General features: G+C 38.1%; 1 protein-coding gene and 1 pseudogene across 5 annotated transcripts in view; one reads left to right on the forward strand and one right to left on the reverse strand.

Moving 5' to 3' along the window:
* TRIP11 (thyroid hormone receptor interactor 11) overlaps positions 1–18529 on the reverse strand; it is a 74069-nt gene that overhangs the window by 44383 nt on the left and 11157 nt on the right. For 4 of the 5 annotated variants that reach the window (XR_943560.3, XR_001750598.3, NM_001321851.1 and 1 more), the window contains exons 3-9: positions 14937–15047; positions 11183–11458; positions 7309–7377; positions 5323–5488; positions 3842–4204; positions 1382–1422; positions 613–699 (exon numbers count right to left, since the gene is read on the reverse strand). Coding sequence is in view for 2 of the 5 variants with exons in the window: in NM_001321851.1 (NP_001308780.1) it covers positions 613–699; positions 1382–1422; positions 3842–4204; positions 5323–5488; positions 7309–7377; positions 11183–11458; positions 14937–15047 (1113 nt within the window). In the remaining 3 variants the exon portion in view is untranslated. Of the gene's footprint in view, positions 1–612; positions 700–1381; positions 1423–3841; positions 4205–5322; positions 5489–7308; positions 7378–11182; positions 11459–14936; positions 15048–18529 lie in introns of those variants that run through there. The other variant, XM_047431935.1, reaches the window with a different exon arrangement.
* On the forward strand, positions 16049–17194 carry PTMAP7 (prothymosin alpha pseudogene 7; annotated as a pseudogene).

Genomic DNA, 18529 nt, shown 5'->3' on the forward strand with positions numbered 1-18529 from the left:
TACAAAATTAGCTGGGTGTGGTGGCTGGCGCCTGTAATCCCAGCAACTCAGGAGGTTGAGGCAGGAGAATCGCTTGAACCCGGGAGGCGGAGGTTGCGGTGACCCGAGATTGCGCCACTGCACTACAGCCTGGGCAACAAGAGCGAAACTCCATCTCATTAAAAAAAAAAATAGAACTTCTTTCTACCACTGAAACTGTTGCTCTTTATGCCTCACCACTAAGAAAGTACTGTCCACCAAAATGGACACATTCTGAAGCACACAAGCAGCATATACAGTTATTACAGTATGCTACTCCAGACCTCCTGACCTACCTGTGTATGTTCCTGCTGTCAGGACATCATCAGAAACCAAAACAGGACCTCCACCTATCTTTTCTGCTTGATTCTGTGTGCCTACTAGCTTATTTCTAAATACGAACTCAAGCCAGCCACTTATACTCTGAACTTTACCCAGGTACTTCCACCTAGCCTGAAAAGCATCAGTGAGATCAGCTTTATTCTAAGGACTTGAGCTCAATTACTCAACATTCCATTTGGATATCAACTGGCCCTTGGCTGTGACCTGTTACACATACCATTTTAATTCTGCCCCCATTTTTACAGCACCCACCTTTTCTTGACTCAGTAATGACTTCTCTTTTTCTAAAACTTCGATACGCATTTTAAGTTTCAGATTGTCTTCAGCAAGACTGTTATCCTACAAAAATGTTAAAGCAGTGTTTTCAGGTAACAAGAAATTTCCAGTTTATAAAAAAGCTGGCAATCTATACAATTGTGTGTTTCTATTCAGTATTTCTTTAATGATATGTAGTAATTATAAGAATGCAATACTTGGCCAGACACGGTGGCTCATGCCTGTTAATCCCAGCACTTTGGGAGGCTGAGGCAGGCAGATCACAAGGTCAGGAAATCAAGACCATCCTGGCTAACACAGTGAAACCCCGTCTCTACTAAAAATACAAAAAATTAGCCGGGTGTGGTGGCACGCTCCTATCATCCCAGCTACTCGGGAGGCTGAGGCAGGAGAATCGCTTGAACCTGGGAGGTGGAGGTTGCGGAGAGCCGAGATCGCGACTCCAGCCTGGGTGACAGAGCAAGACTCCGTCTCAAAAAAAAAAAAAAAAAAAAAAAAAAGAATGCAACACTTATAAAAGTGTCTAAAACGAATGAAACCAGTCATGCATTTTCGACACTCTTACAGAAGACTTCCTTATTATGCTTGGAAAAATATAAAAATATATTTACAAAATAACTTCTAATTATTAGAAAAAGAAACAACTCTTTGAATCTCTTAAGGAAAATTAAAACTCATTTCTCACTTGGTATAGGATCTGCTTCCACTGTCTCTATGCACATAACATTTGTCAAAATTAATTTACCTGGTTTAAACTACTCAATCTCATTATTTCATTTTCGGCATCTGTAAAAACAGCAAATGAACTTGACATTAAAATTATTTAGAGTAACTTATTATCTTCAATATTAAACTCAGAAATGCAACCCAATTAAAGTGTATATAAGCACCACTGGCAAGCAGTAACAGTTCTGAGTGAAACATATATTTGTATTCCTGTTTTGTCATATCAAATAAATCATAATGTAAATGCCAGTTAAAAACCACATTAAAATCCAAGTCTATGGATAAGCATAAGAAAAAATTGAAATTGTATTGTAGATGAGTCACAAGTTATTGCCTTGATAAAAATGCTAATGACAACCAGGTTTCAAAATGAATTGATTCATTTGAGAAGCAGGAAATAGTACATGGTTTAAGATTGGAGGAAAACAATTTAAAAGTAGTATTTTATTATGTATATTTAAACCACCACAATACCATAATCTCTCAATTATCTAACGTGATTTAGATATGAATGCTGAGAAAAAGACCATTCAATTTGGTATTATAGATAGATCTATAAAAAGAAGAGGGTACACAAAAAAACACAGCTGAAATCATTGATTCAACATTCACTCAGGAAATATTTAGCATTTACTATGAGGCCAGGTGCTAGACAAAAAGCTGGTAAAATTTAGCCCTTGCTCTCGAAGAGCTTACAATTCAGAGAGGAAGAAAAACTAGTAAGCACAGGATTATAACATAGTATGACAGAGCAAGCACGAGGTGCTATGAGAACAAACAGGGTAAACACCTAATCTAGATTAGGAGGAGCAAATGGGGCCAAGAAGTGGCAGTGCTAGGTACTTCTCAGTGGAGGTTAATACCTGCACTGAATCAATATACTGAGAGTCGGCTAAAAGAGCCATAGAGACACTCCACACAGAGAAAGCAGAAAATGCAAGGGTAACAGAGTGAAGAGGTAACATTGCTGCTTTAAGGAGCTATAGAAAATTCAATATGGTTCAAGTTTAGAATGTCAGGAGCATGGGAATAGTTGAAACTGAAGAGATAGGCAGGAACTAGATCATGAGAGACATTATCATGTCTAACTAAGAAATTTAAACATCATCCCGAAGTTCACAGGCAGCTATAAAGTACTAAATGCAGGGGAGTAACCTGCTTTGCATTTCTGACAAATTATTCTGGCTGCAGAATGAAAAAAATAGATTGAAGGAATCATGGAGAACAGAGAATTTTAAAAGCTAACTCTTCAGCTGGGGGCGGTGGCTCACGCCTGTAATCCCAGCACTTTGGGTGGCCAAGGTGGGCAGATCATGAGGTCAAGAGATCGAGATCATCCTGGCCAACATGGTGAAACCCTGTCTCTACTAAAAATACAAAAATTAGCTGGGCGTGGTGACACATGCTTGTAGTCCCAGCTACTTGGGAGGCTGAGGGAGGAGCATCACTTGAACCCGGGAGGTGGAGGTTGCAGTGAACCGAGATCGTGCCACTGCACTCCAGTCTGAGCTACAGAGCGAGACTCTGTCTCAAAAAAACAAACAAAAAAAAAGCTAACTCTTCAACATTTACTATTGGCTAGACACTATCCTAAAGAGCGGCAGAAAGTAACTCATATAATCCTCATTACTAAAACTACAAGGAAGATACCATTATTATCCCAACCCTATAGATGAAATAACCAATGCATAGAGATGTTAACCTGTCCAAGGTCAGCTAATTAGTGATAGAGCTCGATTCCAACCCAGTCATGTCCTTAACCACTACGCTATTCTGCTCCATTCAGAGAGCTGCCATAGTTAACATAGGCAAAAAGCAATTATGACTGGCTGAAGTAATTCTGTGTCAATGGAATAGAAAAAAGAGGAAGGACTAAGGCAGTGGGTTTGTCTTTTAAGCACATAAACTCATCTGGATCACCCAATATGATAAGTAAGTAAATGTATTAGTCTTATGTAAGTAAATTTATTTTTTAAATAAGTAAACTTATTTTTTAAAACGTAAGTACAATTACTTTAAAATTTATTTTATTTACTGGTGTTTGGCCTATTTCATTTAGTACTAATTTTCTGTAACACAGAATACTGGTACAGTAACTAAATATCATCATGAGCATAGAAAATGGTGGAAGACCTATGGCTCTAAGCACTCAGGGCTTTGCTTGGATATAGGAGATCGTTTCAAACAGGTAACAACTGACTTTGAAGAAGAAAGGCTGTATTCCCTAACTGGAGGATGTGGGCTGTGATGAGTTACAGAAAGTATAGCAATACCTAATCCTTTTTAATAGGAAATTCCTATTTGCAATCTATTAACTCTTACACTGAATCCAAACCACACAATTCTACCCAAATGACACACAGTCATTTCCAGGAATATGCCATTTCCACTAAGTATTCAGTTAGTGAAGCATCTGTCTCTAAAAACAACTACTATGCAATGAAACAGCAATCTGAAATAAGTTCCAAAGACTGTATACCAGACAGTGCTTGTTGTAGTCTGAACACTTCTTCCACTGATGCACTCTGGGCAAGAATTCTTTCCTTTTCTGTCATAGTATCACTTTGCTTCACAGCAGAAGGCTGCAATTTACTACATTCCAATTTCAAGTTTTCACATTCTTCCATTATTTGTCTCTTTTCCACATTTAGCTGTTCTTGTTCTCTCCTCAAAATATCTCTGTCATTTTCTGCAGAAGATAATTTTTTATTTATATCTTTTATTTTATCCTCAAGTTGTTCCATTTTTTTGGTAGACTCCACTTTTTCTATTTGTAGAACTTGAATAGTTTTTTGCATCTCATAGATTTTAGAGAGATCAGTTTCTATAACTCCAGAGCCACCTAGAACATAAACACAAAACAATGACATCAAATGTCAAGTACCAAGAAATAAACGGTTTGCTATATACAACTAAGAGATATAAGACAGTTCAGAATTTGGAAAGCTTAAAAGTTAAATTACTATAATAAACTAAGTGTTTTAAAATAAATAAGTTGGGGGAAAATATTTGAATCAACTACATAAAGGCCTATGTATCTTAGTTTGAAAGAAAGTGATAATATCTCTAATCATTTATTACCAAAGTATCATCACCAAACAATGCAAAGAAATCTATAAATTATAACTATTTACCACAAAGGTAAAAAGGACATTTCCATTTTCACAGAATTTTTTTTTTTTTTTTGAGATGGAGTCTCACTCTGTTGCCCAGGCTGGAGGGCAGTGGTGCCATCTCGGCTCACTGCAACCTCTGCCTCCTGGGCTCAAGTGATCCTCCCACCTCAGCCTCCTGAGTAGCTGGGACCACAGGCGAGCACCACCACGTCCAGCTAATTTTTGTATTTTTAGTAGAGACGGGATTTCGCCATGTTGGCCAGGCTGGTCTCAAACTCCTGGCCTCAAGTGATCCACACACCTTGGCCTCCCAAAATGCTGGGGTTATAGCCATAAGCCACCACTCCCGGCCACAGAATCTTAAAAGCAGAGGTGCCACTGCAAATTTCTGGCAGATAAGCAGAACTAGTCATTTACACTTCCTTATAACTTAGGGCAAGTTTACAGCACTGTCCTGGTCTTAGAATGCTAGGTCTATCATTTAGTTATGTCATCTAATATGTTAAATTAATAAAACTATCAACTGGCCAGGTGCAGTGGCTCATGCCTGTAATCCTAGCACTTTGGGAGGCCGAGGTGGGTGGACCACCCGAGATCACGAGTTTGGGACCAGCCTGGCCAATATGGCGAAACCCTATTGCTACTAAAAATACAAAAATTAGCTGGGCATGGTGGCAGGCACCTGTAATCCAGCTACTTGGGAGGCTGATGCAGGAGAATCGCTTGAACCCGGGGGGCGGAGGTTGCAGTGAGCCGAGATCGCGCCAGTGCACTCCAGCCTGGGCAACAGATGGAGACTCCATCTCAAAAAAAATAATAATAATAAAGAAATAAAACTAATAACCTTGTTGTAACAGATTTTCAAGTTCTTCAATTCGTTCTTCATAGTCACTTAATTCTTCTCGATGTCGTCGACTTATTTCTGTCAATTTCTGTTGGTGTGCATTCTGCAGTACTGACATTTCATGTTGATGGTCATCAATTTCCTGACTTCGGTTCTGTTTTAGTTCCTTAAAAAATAAAAACAAAGTTATTCACATTTATAATCAATAAATTTATGTAAGCTATATATTTAACTGTTGTCCAAAAGTGTGCATTATTAAAAAGAATTCTCAGAACATGTTAAGGCTGAAAAGAATTTAAACACAGACCCAAAATTAGGACTATTCTGAACAACTTCACCCTTTCCTTTCTTAGGTCTCAAAAACAGTTTTTCTACTTCTAATGAGGGAACATCAGCAAGAAAAGGCTAAAACAAACGATAAGTAAAAATGTCTTTTCCTTAATATCTGTGACCATGAACTTCTCCTTTTCCTAATGACACTTTCTGCCAATACCAGTGTCACCCCTCTGACCAATCTGTACCTGCTGTTCCACTACTTCCATCCTCTCACTCAGCCTTTCCTTTCACCAGTCTTATTGGGACTCCCAAACTGTCAACCTGGCGCCTTCCTACCCAAGTTGAGCCCACTGTGTCTCTCGCAGGAACCTGGATCTTGAGCTGAGTCCATCGACTAGGGAAACTGGTTTGACGGGAAGCACCAGGACAGGTGCCCTCTCAAGAGTCTGTCCACTGGGTCCCGCCACCCAGATTCCTAACACTCTTCCCACTCCTATCCAACCTGAGGCCAAAACATTCAACTCCTCCTTCAATCCTGCGGATGGACTACCCTGGGTTCTTCCAGTAAATCCTCTTTTGCTTTACTTGGCCAGAGATGGTTTTTGTTGCTTGTAACCAAGAATCCTAATCTACAGAAAAATTGATGCTCTTATGGAAAAAAGAAAAAAAAAGATCCTAATCTATAAATTAACTTCTTACTTATGTGCCACCACTGGGCTAAGAGCTTTACATTTAAACCTCAAAACAATCCTACAAGATAGGTATTATCATGGTCTCCATTGATAATAAAACAGAAGTAACTTGCCCGAGATTAGCATAGCATGTAAATAATACAGCCAGGATTCAAACACAGGTCTGATCCGGATTCTATCCACTCTAGTATTGTAATAATAATGAACCCAAAACTAAAAATTCTATATCTGACAATAATTTTAACACTAAAAATAATTCACTGCCACAATAATATATGCAACTAAGACTTTTCTTTAAAGAAATAATAATTGACACAAACTAGCGAAATTCTACCGCTAAGGTAAAATAAGTATTTCCAATGCATGATATTAGTATTTTATTTTGTCCATATCCTTTAACTCTAAACCTTGAAACTTCAGCAACCCTGCAATTAGGTTTTAATAAAGACGGTTTTACAAGATACAATAGAGTATAGAGACTTACGAAAGATAAGCTCCGTAATAAATGTTCAAAACCAAATGATTCTGGAAAGACAGAGATTTTTATATACTTTACATAAATAATAAAGAATATTAAAAAAAAATATTTTTAAATGGACCAGGCGCGTTGGCTCATGCCTGGAATCCCAGCGTTGTGGGAGGCTGAAGCAGGAGGATGGCTTGAGGCTAGAAGTTCCAGACCAGCCTGGGCACCATTAGCAAACCCCATCTATACAAAAAAAATCAGAAAAAATTAGCCAGGCATGGTGGCATGTGTGCCTGTAGTCCCAGTTACATGGGAAGCTGAGGCAGGAGGATCACCTGAACCCAGGAGTATGAGGCTGCAGTGACCTGATCATGCCACTGCACTCCAGCCAGGGCAACACAGTGAGATCCTATCTCTAAAAGAAAAAGAAGTACCATAATCTATATAATGATAATGACTTTTATAACTGAGACTTTTACTAATTCAGGCCTATGCTTTTAATAAGCAGATTTAGATGTATAACTCCCATCATCAATCAACAATTTGACTTACCTTAATGATATTTTGTAGTTTACATATTTCACTTTGATCAGAGTTATCTGTTCCTTGTGCTTTGGAAGTCTAGATCAGAAAAAGAGAATTAGTAAATAATTATACTGATTTTCTTGTCAACAGAAAGTCACAAACTAACTTCATTACAAGAATACTTTTGTAAAAAGGGGGATTTTCACAGATTCCGACTAAAGAATGCCATGGACCTTTTAAAGAACCTAGTCTAATAGTGAATAATACACAATAAATAAAAGATATCATATTTAAGAATGTATTAACTAATGGGGGGGACAACAGTTTTACAAAATAACTAAAGTTAAGGTAGAAAAATTTATAGAATATTTTACTTAGCTTGACAAAATGTAAGGGTAAAGATAATTGAGCAGCTTTCTAAAAGGAAATTTCTTTTTCCTTTCTTTTTTTTTTTTTTTGAGACAGGGTCTTTCTCTGTCACTCAGGCTGGAATGCAGTGGTGTGATCATGGCTCACTGCAGCCTCCACCTCCTGGGTTCAGGCAATCCTCCCACCTCAGCCTTCCAAGTAGCTGGGACTACAAGCACATGCCAGCATGCTTAGCTAATTTTTTTTTTGTAGAGATGGGATCTCACTATGTTGCCCAGGCTGGTCTCGAGCTCCTGGCTGCAAGTAATCCTCCTGCCTTGGCCTCCCAAAGTGCTGGGATTAGACATGAACCACCATGCCTGGCAAAATCAAATGATTTTACCCAGAAGATCTCTACCCAATAGAGAATAATCTTTGGTTTAATAAATAAATAAAACAACTTTTGGATTCTTCTCATTCAAAGCTGTATGTTGTTCATTTATCTTTATTAATATTACTATGTAGCATTTTAATGAACCAAAAGCTACTCTAGGACTGAAAGAAAGAATAAAGTATAATAGAAAAAATACAGGATTTAGTCAAAACACGTGTGTTTGAATCATAACTTAACCACTGTGGCAATGGATTATATGACTTAAACTTTTAGTTTCCTAGGGCTGGGCACAGTGGCTCATGCCTATAATCCCAACACTTTGGGAGGCAAGGCCGCTGGATCACAAGGGCAAGAGATCAAGACCATCCTGGCCAACAGGTGAAACCCCGTCACTATTAAAAATACAAAAAAAAAATTAGCTGGGAGTGGTGGCGGGTGCCCGTAGTCCCAGCTACTTGGGTGGCTGAGGCAGGAGAATTGCTTGAACCTGGGAGGCAGAGGTTGCAGTGAGCCGAGATCCCACCACTGCACTCCAGCCTGGTAGACAGAGCAAGACTCCATCTCAAAAAAAAAAAAAAAAAACAAAAAAAAAACTTTCAGTTTCCTTATTTATAAAATAGAGGTAATACATCTATCTCATAATTATTAACATAATAATATATTGGGATAATACATATGGAAACATAAAATGTAATGCAAATATTAATTTTTATTACGTCTTGCTAGAAAATTAAGTCCTCTGAACGGTCCCAATTATGCCTTTTTCAACTTTATAGTCTAGTACAGGTCTGTCATGGAGTAGGCATTCAAGATATGCTGAAATGAACACACCAAAAACCATTCTCTTCCCTATGAAATCTTACTCTAACAATGTTTCTTAAAATGTGTTCCTTAGGTTATCAGAATCACCAGGGCTATTTGTTTAAATGCAGTTTAAGGCCCTAAAACTGGCTAACAAATTGATATCCCTGAAGGTACCACAGAAGATCTACAATACTGCCAAGTTCTCCAGGTCATTTCTTATACATAGAAAGTTTACTGCTTTTTGGAGATAAGATGGACAAACAGATCATCCTCTCTAAAGCTTATTTTGGGTACTGAGAATGTCTAGCAACTTGTGAAAGAAGGAGATAATTTTAAGTGGGAAGATTTCTCCTTTACATAACTAGATTACATTCATAAAAACACAAAAAATAATCTCTTTACTCATGTAATTTTTTTTTACATTGATGAAATTAAATCCAAATAAACAGTGTTCCAGTTTACTCCAGGTCTCATGTCTACAATTTCCATAGTATACAGGTTGAGAATCCCTAATTCAAAAATCCAAAATCTGAAATGCTCCAAAATCTGAAACATTTGAGTGCCAACATGATGCCACAAGTGGAAAATTCCACACATAAATATTTAACGCAAATTTTGGTTCACACACAAGTTATATAATATTACTTAAAATAGTGTATAAAATTACCTTCACAAGTACCTATGGGTATAAAGTTTATATGTAACATAAATGAATTCCATGTTTAGACCTGGGTCCCATCCTCAAGATATCTCATTATGTTTATGAAAATATTCCAAAATCTGGCCGGATGAAGTGGCTCATGTCTGTAATCCCAACACTTTGGGCGGCCTGAGGTCAAGAGTTTGAGACCAGCCTGGGTAACATGGTGAAACCCCATCTCTACTAAAAGTACAAAAAAACATTAGCCCGGTGTGGTGGCGGGCGCCTGTAATCCCAGCTACTCAGAAGGCTGAGGCAGGAGAATTGCTTGAACCCGGGTGGCAGAGGTTGCAGTGAGCTGAGATGGTGCCACTGCACTCCAGTTTGGGCAACAGACTGAGACTCTCTCTCAAAAAAAAAAAGAAAAGAAAGAACAAGAAAAGATTCCAAAATCCAAAATCTGAAACACTTCTAGTCTCAAGCATTTCGGATAAGAGATATTCATCCTGTATAAAATCTGATATATAAGACAAAAAAGGGCTCCTTGGAAGAAAGTTTACAGCCCCAAATAGCAAAATATTAATTTCTAGTGCATGAGAAACAACACAAAATGGTTTATCATATTTTATAATATCAATTACCAGATTTTCATTTTACATGTAACTAGAGCTAGCAGAAACCTCAGACAACATCTAAGCAAGCGGTTTCAAACATGGTGCCTCGGAGTCCTGGTGTTTACACCAGAGGAGTCTCAGGGACTCCAGAAGAGAAGGTTCTTGGTTCAACCACAGCAACTCAATTTTTTTCCTCTCATGTTTTATTAAAAAAAAAAAAAAGGATCTGTTGCTTTTTTTTGAAAATTTTTTCCAAATAGTGTACAGAAAGGGAAACTCAGACTAGGAGAGAAAGATGACAGGACCAAAATCACTTAGAAAGTCATTGGCAGAGAGGCCAGGCGCAGTGGCTCATGCCTGTAATCCCAGCACTTTGGGAGGCCAAGGCGGGCAGATCACGAGGTTAGGAGTTTGAGACCAGCCTGGCCAACATAGTGAAACCCCATCTCTACTAAAAATACAAAAATTAGCCAGGCATGGTGGCACGCACCTATAATCCCAGCTACTTGGGAGGTTGAGACGGGAGAATCATTTGAACCCGGGAGGCGGAGGTTGCAGTGAGCCAATACTGTGCCACTGCATTCCAGCCTCGGTGACAGAGTAAGACTCTGTCTCAAAAAAAAAAAAAAAAAGAAAGAAAGAAAGTCACTGGCAGAGGCCAGGCGCAGTGGCTCACACTTGTTATCCCAACACTTTGGGAGGCCGAGGTGGGCAGATCACCTAAGGTCAGGAGTTCGAGACTAGCCTGGCCAAAATGGTGAAACCCCATCTCTACTAAAGATACAAAAACTAGGCATAGTGGCGTGTGCCTATAATCCCAGCTACTCAGGAGGCTGAGGCAGGAGAATCACTGGAACCCAGGAGGCCGAGGCTGCAGTGAGCCAAGATCACGCTACTACACTCTAGCATGGGAGACAGAGCAAGATTCTGTCTCAAAAAAAAAAAAAAAAAGAAAGAAAGTCACTGACGGAATTAGAATACACCTTTTCTATTTCCTAGTCCAGGGTTCTTTCTGATATCAAAAGCTCTACATACAGTTTTTTATATTACACCAGTAATTTTACTCAAAGTTTTCAAAAACTCTAAAAAATTTTTATCTACCTGAGCAATATGCCTCCAATGGCCAACTTCAGACTCAAGTCTTGAAACTTCATTTGAGAGTCGGTTTATTTCTTGTTGGGATGAAATTATATCACCAAAGTCCATGTCATCGTCATGGAAAGCTGAAGGATGATGACTAATCCCATAAGCGAATGAAGATGATGCAGTGGTTGCTGGTACACCAGCTCCTGAAGGTACTGACTGAGCAGCTGACTGCAGTTTCAGCAACTGATCCTGGAGTGCAATCTGTCTGGCTTTAAGATGGCTGATTTCTACCTATATATTTATAATCCAAGTTTTAGAGAAGGTACTTTAAAACAATCATATTGACTTTTTATAGATTTGTATTAAAAGACACAATACAATAATTTGTCTAAGATTATCCAATGATGGTCCTCTATCAACTGAATCTAAGTCTTATATAACATTCTAACCATAACATTTTTATTTAAAACACACTCACAATTAAAGCATAAATAATGTTACAAATAGTAGAAATATCAGAATTTTGTATGTTAACTAAAGCAATGAATTTCTCAGTTAAACATGGGTTTGCTATCTTCTCTGCATGGAGTAGTATAGGCAATTTCTTAGGGTTCTGTTTGTGATTACCAAATCTTAAATGATGAGAAAATGAAAGCTGTGTCCGTCTATGCACTGGAAATTTTCTTAGAATATCTCCTGTTACAAGGGTGTTGTGTAACTGATTATGGCTGGATGTAGGCTTAAAATGCACCATGAATCTGAGGTAACTTTGTATTGACCTGCACAACACAGCTGGAAGAATGCTTTGATTTATAAATCCAATCTTTTTAGATAAGATAACAGTGAAACAGTGAGCCCATGGTTATTAGCCCATGAATCTTAAAAAGAAATAATATACTGAAAGTGGTCTTAGCTTTAGATTTGGCAAAGAGGAGCCAGCGAAAATCTGACCTATTTAGGAAGAGAACAGTTCTGAAGTTCTGAAATTACCAGCAGTTTTGACTAAAGGCGGGTAAGTCATAGCGCAAAAGAAATTATAAACACAGGACCTACCAAAATGCCACATCCATTCTTGTAAAAGATTATTCAAAACACAAAATCAAACAATATAGACAGAACTGAAAAAAGTTTTCTATAAAGTAGAGTAGTCCAGAAGACACTGCCACAACTGAGGAAAATTTGATATTAGGAAGACAGCCAACAAGTAACAGTATTTCTATATGCATAAAGTTAAGCAAGTAGACAAAAACCAAACACATTTATGTTGTATGTCATAACAAACAAGTTTTTCATATTGGAGCCCCTTCTCAAATGGAAATTTATAGTACTGTACAAATTTCATTCATTTTCCCACAAATGACATGAGATAAATTCCATCTTGGAGAATATGAACATCACAATGAGGGCCGCACATAGATTCAGGAAATAACAGATCTATATAATCATATATTTCATCCTCGTAAAAAGTACTAAAATCCACATCTTTTTCAAATGTAGCTATATTTAAAAAGCTATCATTATATGATATTTATATCAACTTGTAGTTATACAAGTGCAAGCTGTAATAACAGATATTTCCAAACCTGAATGCTTAATGTGCCCTCTAATATCGATAGTTAAGTAGAACATAAAATACCAAAATTTTCCCCACCAGTGTTTTCAACTGTGAGGTAGGCATCAGAATAACCTGTGGAGCTTTTGAAAATGACCAATACAGGTTGAGTATCCTTATCCGAATGCTTGGGACTAGAAGGGTTTCACATTTCAGGTATTTTCCAATTTGAGAACATTCTCATAAATGTAATGAGATATCTTGGGGATGGGACCCATGTCTAAACACAAAATTCATTTATGTTTCATATACACCTTATACCCACAGGTACGTGTGAAAGTAATTTTATAAAATGCTTTTAACAATTTTGTGCATAAAACAAAGCTTGTGTTCAGTACTTATTTGTGGAATTTTCTACTTGTGGCATCAAACTGGCACTCAAAGTTTTGGATTTTGGAGCATTTCGAATTTTGGTAGGAATGCTCAACCTGCACCAGGGCCTCTTTCCAGTACACTAAGTTAGAATCTCCTAGGTGGTGTAAACATGTATATGCTTTTAAAGTGTCATAATGACACAGCTGTAAACCCCTGGGTAGGAGGAACTACTGTTCTATCATAATGTTTATAACTCAATGCTACTCAAAATGTGGTCCACAGACGAATGCAGTTGAATGCTCACTACCAGTCCAGAGCAAGTATAGCAATGTGAAAAGTAAGGTTTAAGACTTTTAAAGCAATTTAGTAGTAATTTTATATCTGCTGAACTTTTTTTTTTTTTTTTGAGACGGAGTCTCGTTCTGTGACCCAGGCTAGAATGCAGTGGCGTGATCTCAGCTCACTACAACCACCGCCTCCCAGGTTCAAGCAATTCTCCTGTCTCAGCCTCCCAAGTAGCTGAGACTATAGGCATACGCCACCACGTCCGGCTAATTTTTGTATTATTAGTAGAGATGGGGAATCAAGAAAAAAAAAAAGTAGCCTTGTAACTTTAAGTTGAACTTGAGGACAGGCACGGTGGCTCACGCCTGTAATCCCAACACTTTGGGAGGCCAAGGCGGGCAGATCACCTGAGGTCAGGAGTTCAAGACCAGCCTGGCCAACGTGGTGAAACCCCATCTCTAATAAAAATTCAAAAATTAGCCAGGCGTGGTAGTGCATGCCTGTAATCCCAGCTACTCAGGCGGCACGAGAATTGCTTGAACCGGGATGCAGAGGTTGCAGTGAGCCGAGATTGCACCACTGCACTTCAGCCTGGGCGACAGAGCAAGACTCTGTCTCAAAAAAAAAAAAAAAAATTATTTGAACTTGCAACTTTGCCTTTTTTAGTATTCATTTTATTTTTATAGTAATTCATTTTGTATTGTATTTTATGAAATTATCACTTCCCAACAAATTGGAAATTTAAGCACTACTTTCAAAACCTATGTATATCTTTAACGTGCTATACTTTTATCTTTCACCTTAGCATGTCACTAAAGGAACTAGAAAGCATAGGAATTAGAAAGCATGACACCTAAATTTTAAAAACCCAAATATAAAGTTATGGTAGAAATGAACACTTAGTCAACAAACTGAAAAACATCCAAATGATCTGGACAATATAACAGGAAATGGTTCCATTCAATGTAAGTATTTATTGGGGGCCACTTAGGTACTAAACACTAAAGAGAATTCAGTAACAGCATGACACATGAGGACACAGACTGTATTTTAAGGATTCAGAGTAACATTAAATTATATAATATCTACTACCAGCACTGTAAAGCAAAGATAAATCAATTCCAAAGCAGCCATTTCAAACTAAAAAACCCAAAAACATTTATAAAGCAATTATATGTAAATTATCATATATTTAATAGTTTTTCCATGGAAAATCAAGCACATGCCAATACAACAAATATTAGGCTTCATAAAATCAGAAATTATAAGCAACAGATCCCTAAAGATATTTTATACAAAAACTTTTTCTTCTTCTTTGGAAAGAAAAAAATTATACTTCACACAGGTTGGTTTATATATGTAAACTTAATAAAGTTTACATTACCTTACAAAGTTCTTATTAAATAAGGGATATCAAACTGAGTCGAAAATCATTAAATTCATCACCTTTTCATATTTTTACAGATCTGAATATACCTCGATTTATATTCTAACTCTAAAAACATACCTAAATACATTACAGTGAAGTACATATGAAGTAACTGTGATAACATTTACCTCTTTTTGTTGAAGTTGATTTCGGTAACTTGTAGATTGCTGCTTTATTTGAATCTCTGATGCTTCATGTTTCTCTTCTAGATCAGTACAAAGTTTCTTAAGCCTTTCATTCTAGAAAAAAAAAGTATTTTCAACAAAAAGACTGCAAGTAAAACATGTAATTAGTTATGTGCACAGCATTATGAAAAACGTACTGCTTTCCCCCCCCAAAAATGTCAAATATAAAAGGTCTCGGACAGAATTCTGGACTTTAAAATATGCTTTTAAATTAAAGTTAAAAATGCACTGACCAGCCGGGCACTGTGGCTCACGCCTGTAATCCCAGCACTTTGGGAGGCCAAGGCAGATCATGAGGTCAGGAGATCGAGACCATCCTGGCCAACATAGGGAAACCCCATCTCTACTAAAATACAAAAAAAAATTAGACGGGCGTGGTGGCGTGTGCCCGTAATCCCAGCTACTCGCGAGGCTGAGGCAGGGGAATTGCTTGAACCCGGGAGGCGGAGGTTGCAGTGAGCCGAGATCATGCCATTGCATTCCAGCCTGGTGACAGAGCGAGACTCCGTCTCAAAAAAAAAAAAAAAAAGCACTGACCATGTTTATACAGACAGAATATGCATAATTCTAAACCAAACAGTGAAATATTAACATTTTGCTCAGATTGATTTTCTGCTAAGAAAAGGCCACGAATCAATGTTTCCCCATCTTTGTATACCCAGTTCTAGCACACAGCAGTCAATACATGTCTAGTAAATAAATGGATTACATGTTTGAACTTTTGTTTTCTTCCCCAAACAGAACTTTTTTTAAAAAGAAATCTTTCTGGTTGAAGTACAGGGAGGAGGCTAAAATCTCACATAATTTGCTTGTCTTTCAGGGTCCCTGAAGGACCTCGGAAAAAATCCAATTTGAAAACCACTACTAGAACTGTTTGAAAAAAGTTAAAAGTACACAAAATAGCCTAATTCAATGAACCTAGACATTACACACTGTCTTTTAAGATGTTGAAAAACATGAAAAAAATTACTCAAATTGTATGTACCTAAATATTAAATTATCTTAACCTATTATCATTCCTTATTTGAATGAAATAATAAGAACATAATGGGGCGCCCCACTGGCTGCTCTGAAAAGCCATCTTTGCATTGTTCCTCGTCCGCCTCCTTGCTCGCCGCAGCCGGCAGCTTTATCGCCAGAGTCCCTGAACTCTCGCTTTCTTTTTAATCCCCTGCATCGGATCACTGGCGTGCCCTACCATGTCAGACGCAGCCGTGGACACCAGCTCCGAAATCACCACCAAGGACTTAAAGGAGAAGAAGGAAGTTGTGGAAGAGGCGGAAAATGGAAGAGACGCCCCTGCTGACGAGGAAAATGGGGAGCAAGAGGCTGACAATGAAGTAGATGAAGAACAGGAAGAAGGTGGGGAGGAAGAGGAGGAGGAAGAAGAAGGTGAGGGTGAGGAAGAAGGATGGAGATGAAGATGAGGAAGCTGAGTCAGCTACCGGCAAGTGGGCAGCTGAAGATGATGAGGATGACGATGTTGATACCAAGAAGCAGAAGACCGACGAGGATGACTAGACAGCAAAAAAGGAAAAGTTAAACTAAAAAAAAGGCCGCCGCGACCTATTCACCCTCCACTTCCCCTCTCAGAATCTAAACGTGGTCACCTTCAAGTAGAGAGGCCCGCCCGCCCACCGTGGGCAGTGCCACCAGCAGATGACACGCGCTCTCCACCACGCAACCCAAACCATGAGAATTTGCAACAGGGGAGGAAAAAGAACCAAAACTTCCAAGGCCCTGCTTTTTTTCTTAAAAGTATTTTAAAAAGGAAATTTGTATTTTTTATTTTCATTTTATATTTTTGTACATATTGTTAGGGTCAGCCATTTTTAATGATCTCGGATGACCAAACCAGCCTTCGGAGTGTTCTTTGTCCTACTTCTGACTTTACTTGTGGTGTGACCATATTCATTATAATCTCAAAGCAGAAAAAAAACCTTGTAAAAAAAGCAAAAACGACAACAGAAAAACAATCTTATTCCGAGCATTCCAATAACTTTTTTGTGTATGTACTTAGCTGTACTATAAGTAGTTGGTTTGTATGAGATGGTTAAAAAGGCCAAAAATAAAAGGTTTCTTTTTTTTCCTTTTTTGTCTATGAAGTTGCTGTTTATTTTTTTTGGCCTGTCTGATGTATGTGTGAGACAATGTTGTCCAACAATAAACAGGAATTTTGTTTTGCTGAGTTGTTCTAACAACAACAACAAAAAGAACATAATGGGGCAAAAGAAATGGACACTAAAACTCTCTACAAAAAAGAATTTACAAATAATTGCAGATAACAATTTACTAAGCATTCTACTAATATACCCACAAACACGGTTTAACAACAATGAATGAGAAAAAGAAGACTGATAGTGAGAAAGAAAGCTCTTGCTAAAAGGTGAAGACTTTTTCACTTTGGGGATGTCATTTGTTTTCTTCTTAGATTCTAGGAACTTCTGATGTCAACAGATGTGAAAATAATGATCCAGGAAGATTACATAAATTCCCAGAGAAAACCAATGGAATAATCAAAGGAATAATTACAGCATCCACAAATCCTAGTTTGGGACTCTATCCCCAGAAATCTAACACAGACCTTAATTATCCTGAAGAACTAGTAGTAAGAAACAGGACCAATGGTCCCAACAGCTGATTACCTTCTATTCTACTGGCTGCTTTTGCATGACTTTCTGTAAGCTGTTTATATGAAAAACACCATACATAACTCAGCGATATAATATACTGAAGTCAAACCCTGGTTATAAAAGTTCACTTCAGGTTTTTTTTCACACAAAAATACCTAAGGTTATTTATTTAACTCTGATTAATAAATAGAACTGTGAAACTTTGAATATGGTCAATATCTACTTGGTTGTCTGCCCTCATCTCCATAGCCATATGAGAGTCAGAAAGATTGAGAAAGGGCTAGGCGTGGTGGCTCATGCCTGTAATCTCAGCACTTTGGGAGGCTGAGGCAGGAGGATCACTTGAGCCCAGGAGTTCAAGACCAGCCTGGGCAACATAAGGAACAAAAAATACAAATACAAAATTAGCTGGGCATGTTGGCTTGCACCCATAGTCCCAGCTACTCAGGAGGCTGAGGAGGGAAGACTGCTTGAACCTGAGAGGTCAAGGCTGCAGGGGAGCCATGATCACACCACTGCACTCCAACTTGGGTGACAGAGCAAGACCCTGTCTCAAAACAAAAAGAAAGGCTGAGAGAGCAAATGAAGGACAGTTTCTCTTCATGTGGCCGAACCCATAAAATATGAAAAGAGTTGCCAGAGATAATATTTTCTATTATATGGAATATTGAACAGAGGGGGCTGGTCTGAAAGGAGAAAAGAATAAATGCATAGAAAGAAGAAAAGAGAGTACAAATGAAAAGAGAGACAGACTCCTGATGGCCTCCAGTTCTAGCTGCAGTCCTTCTAAAGTCAGACTACATTTCTGCTATTGAAATCCATAGGACACTCACATCTTAAAATATTCCGTCCTGCTTAATCTTTGGTTATACCATTAGGGTCCACTGAAATCAACTTAATTTC

Source organism: Homo sapiens, chromosome 14 (genome assembly GCF_000001405.40).
Source record: "Homo sapiens chromosome 14, GRCh38.p14 Primary Assembly".
Classification (NCBI taxonomy): domain Eukaryota; kingdom Metazoa; phylum Chordata; class Mammalia; order Primates; family Hominidae; genus Homo; species Homo sapiens.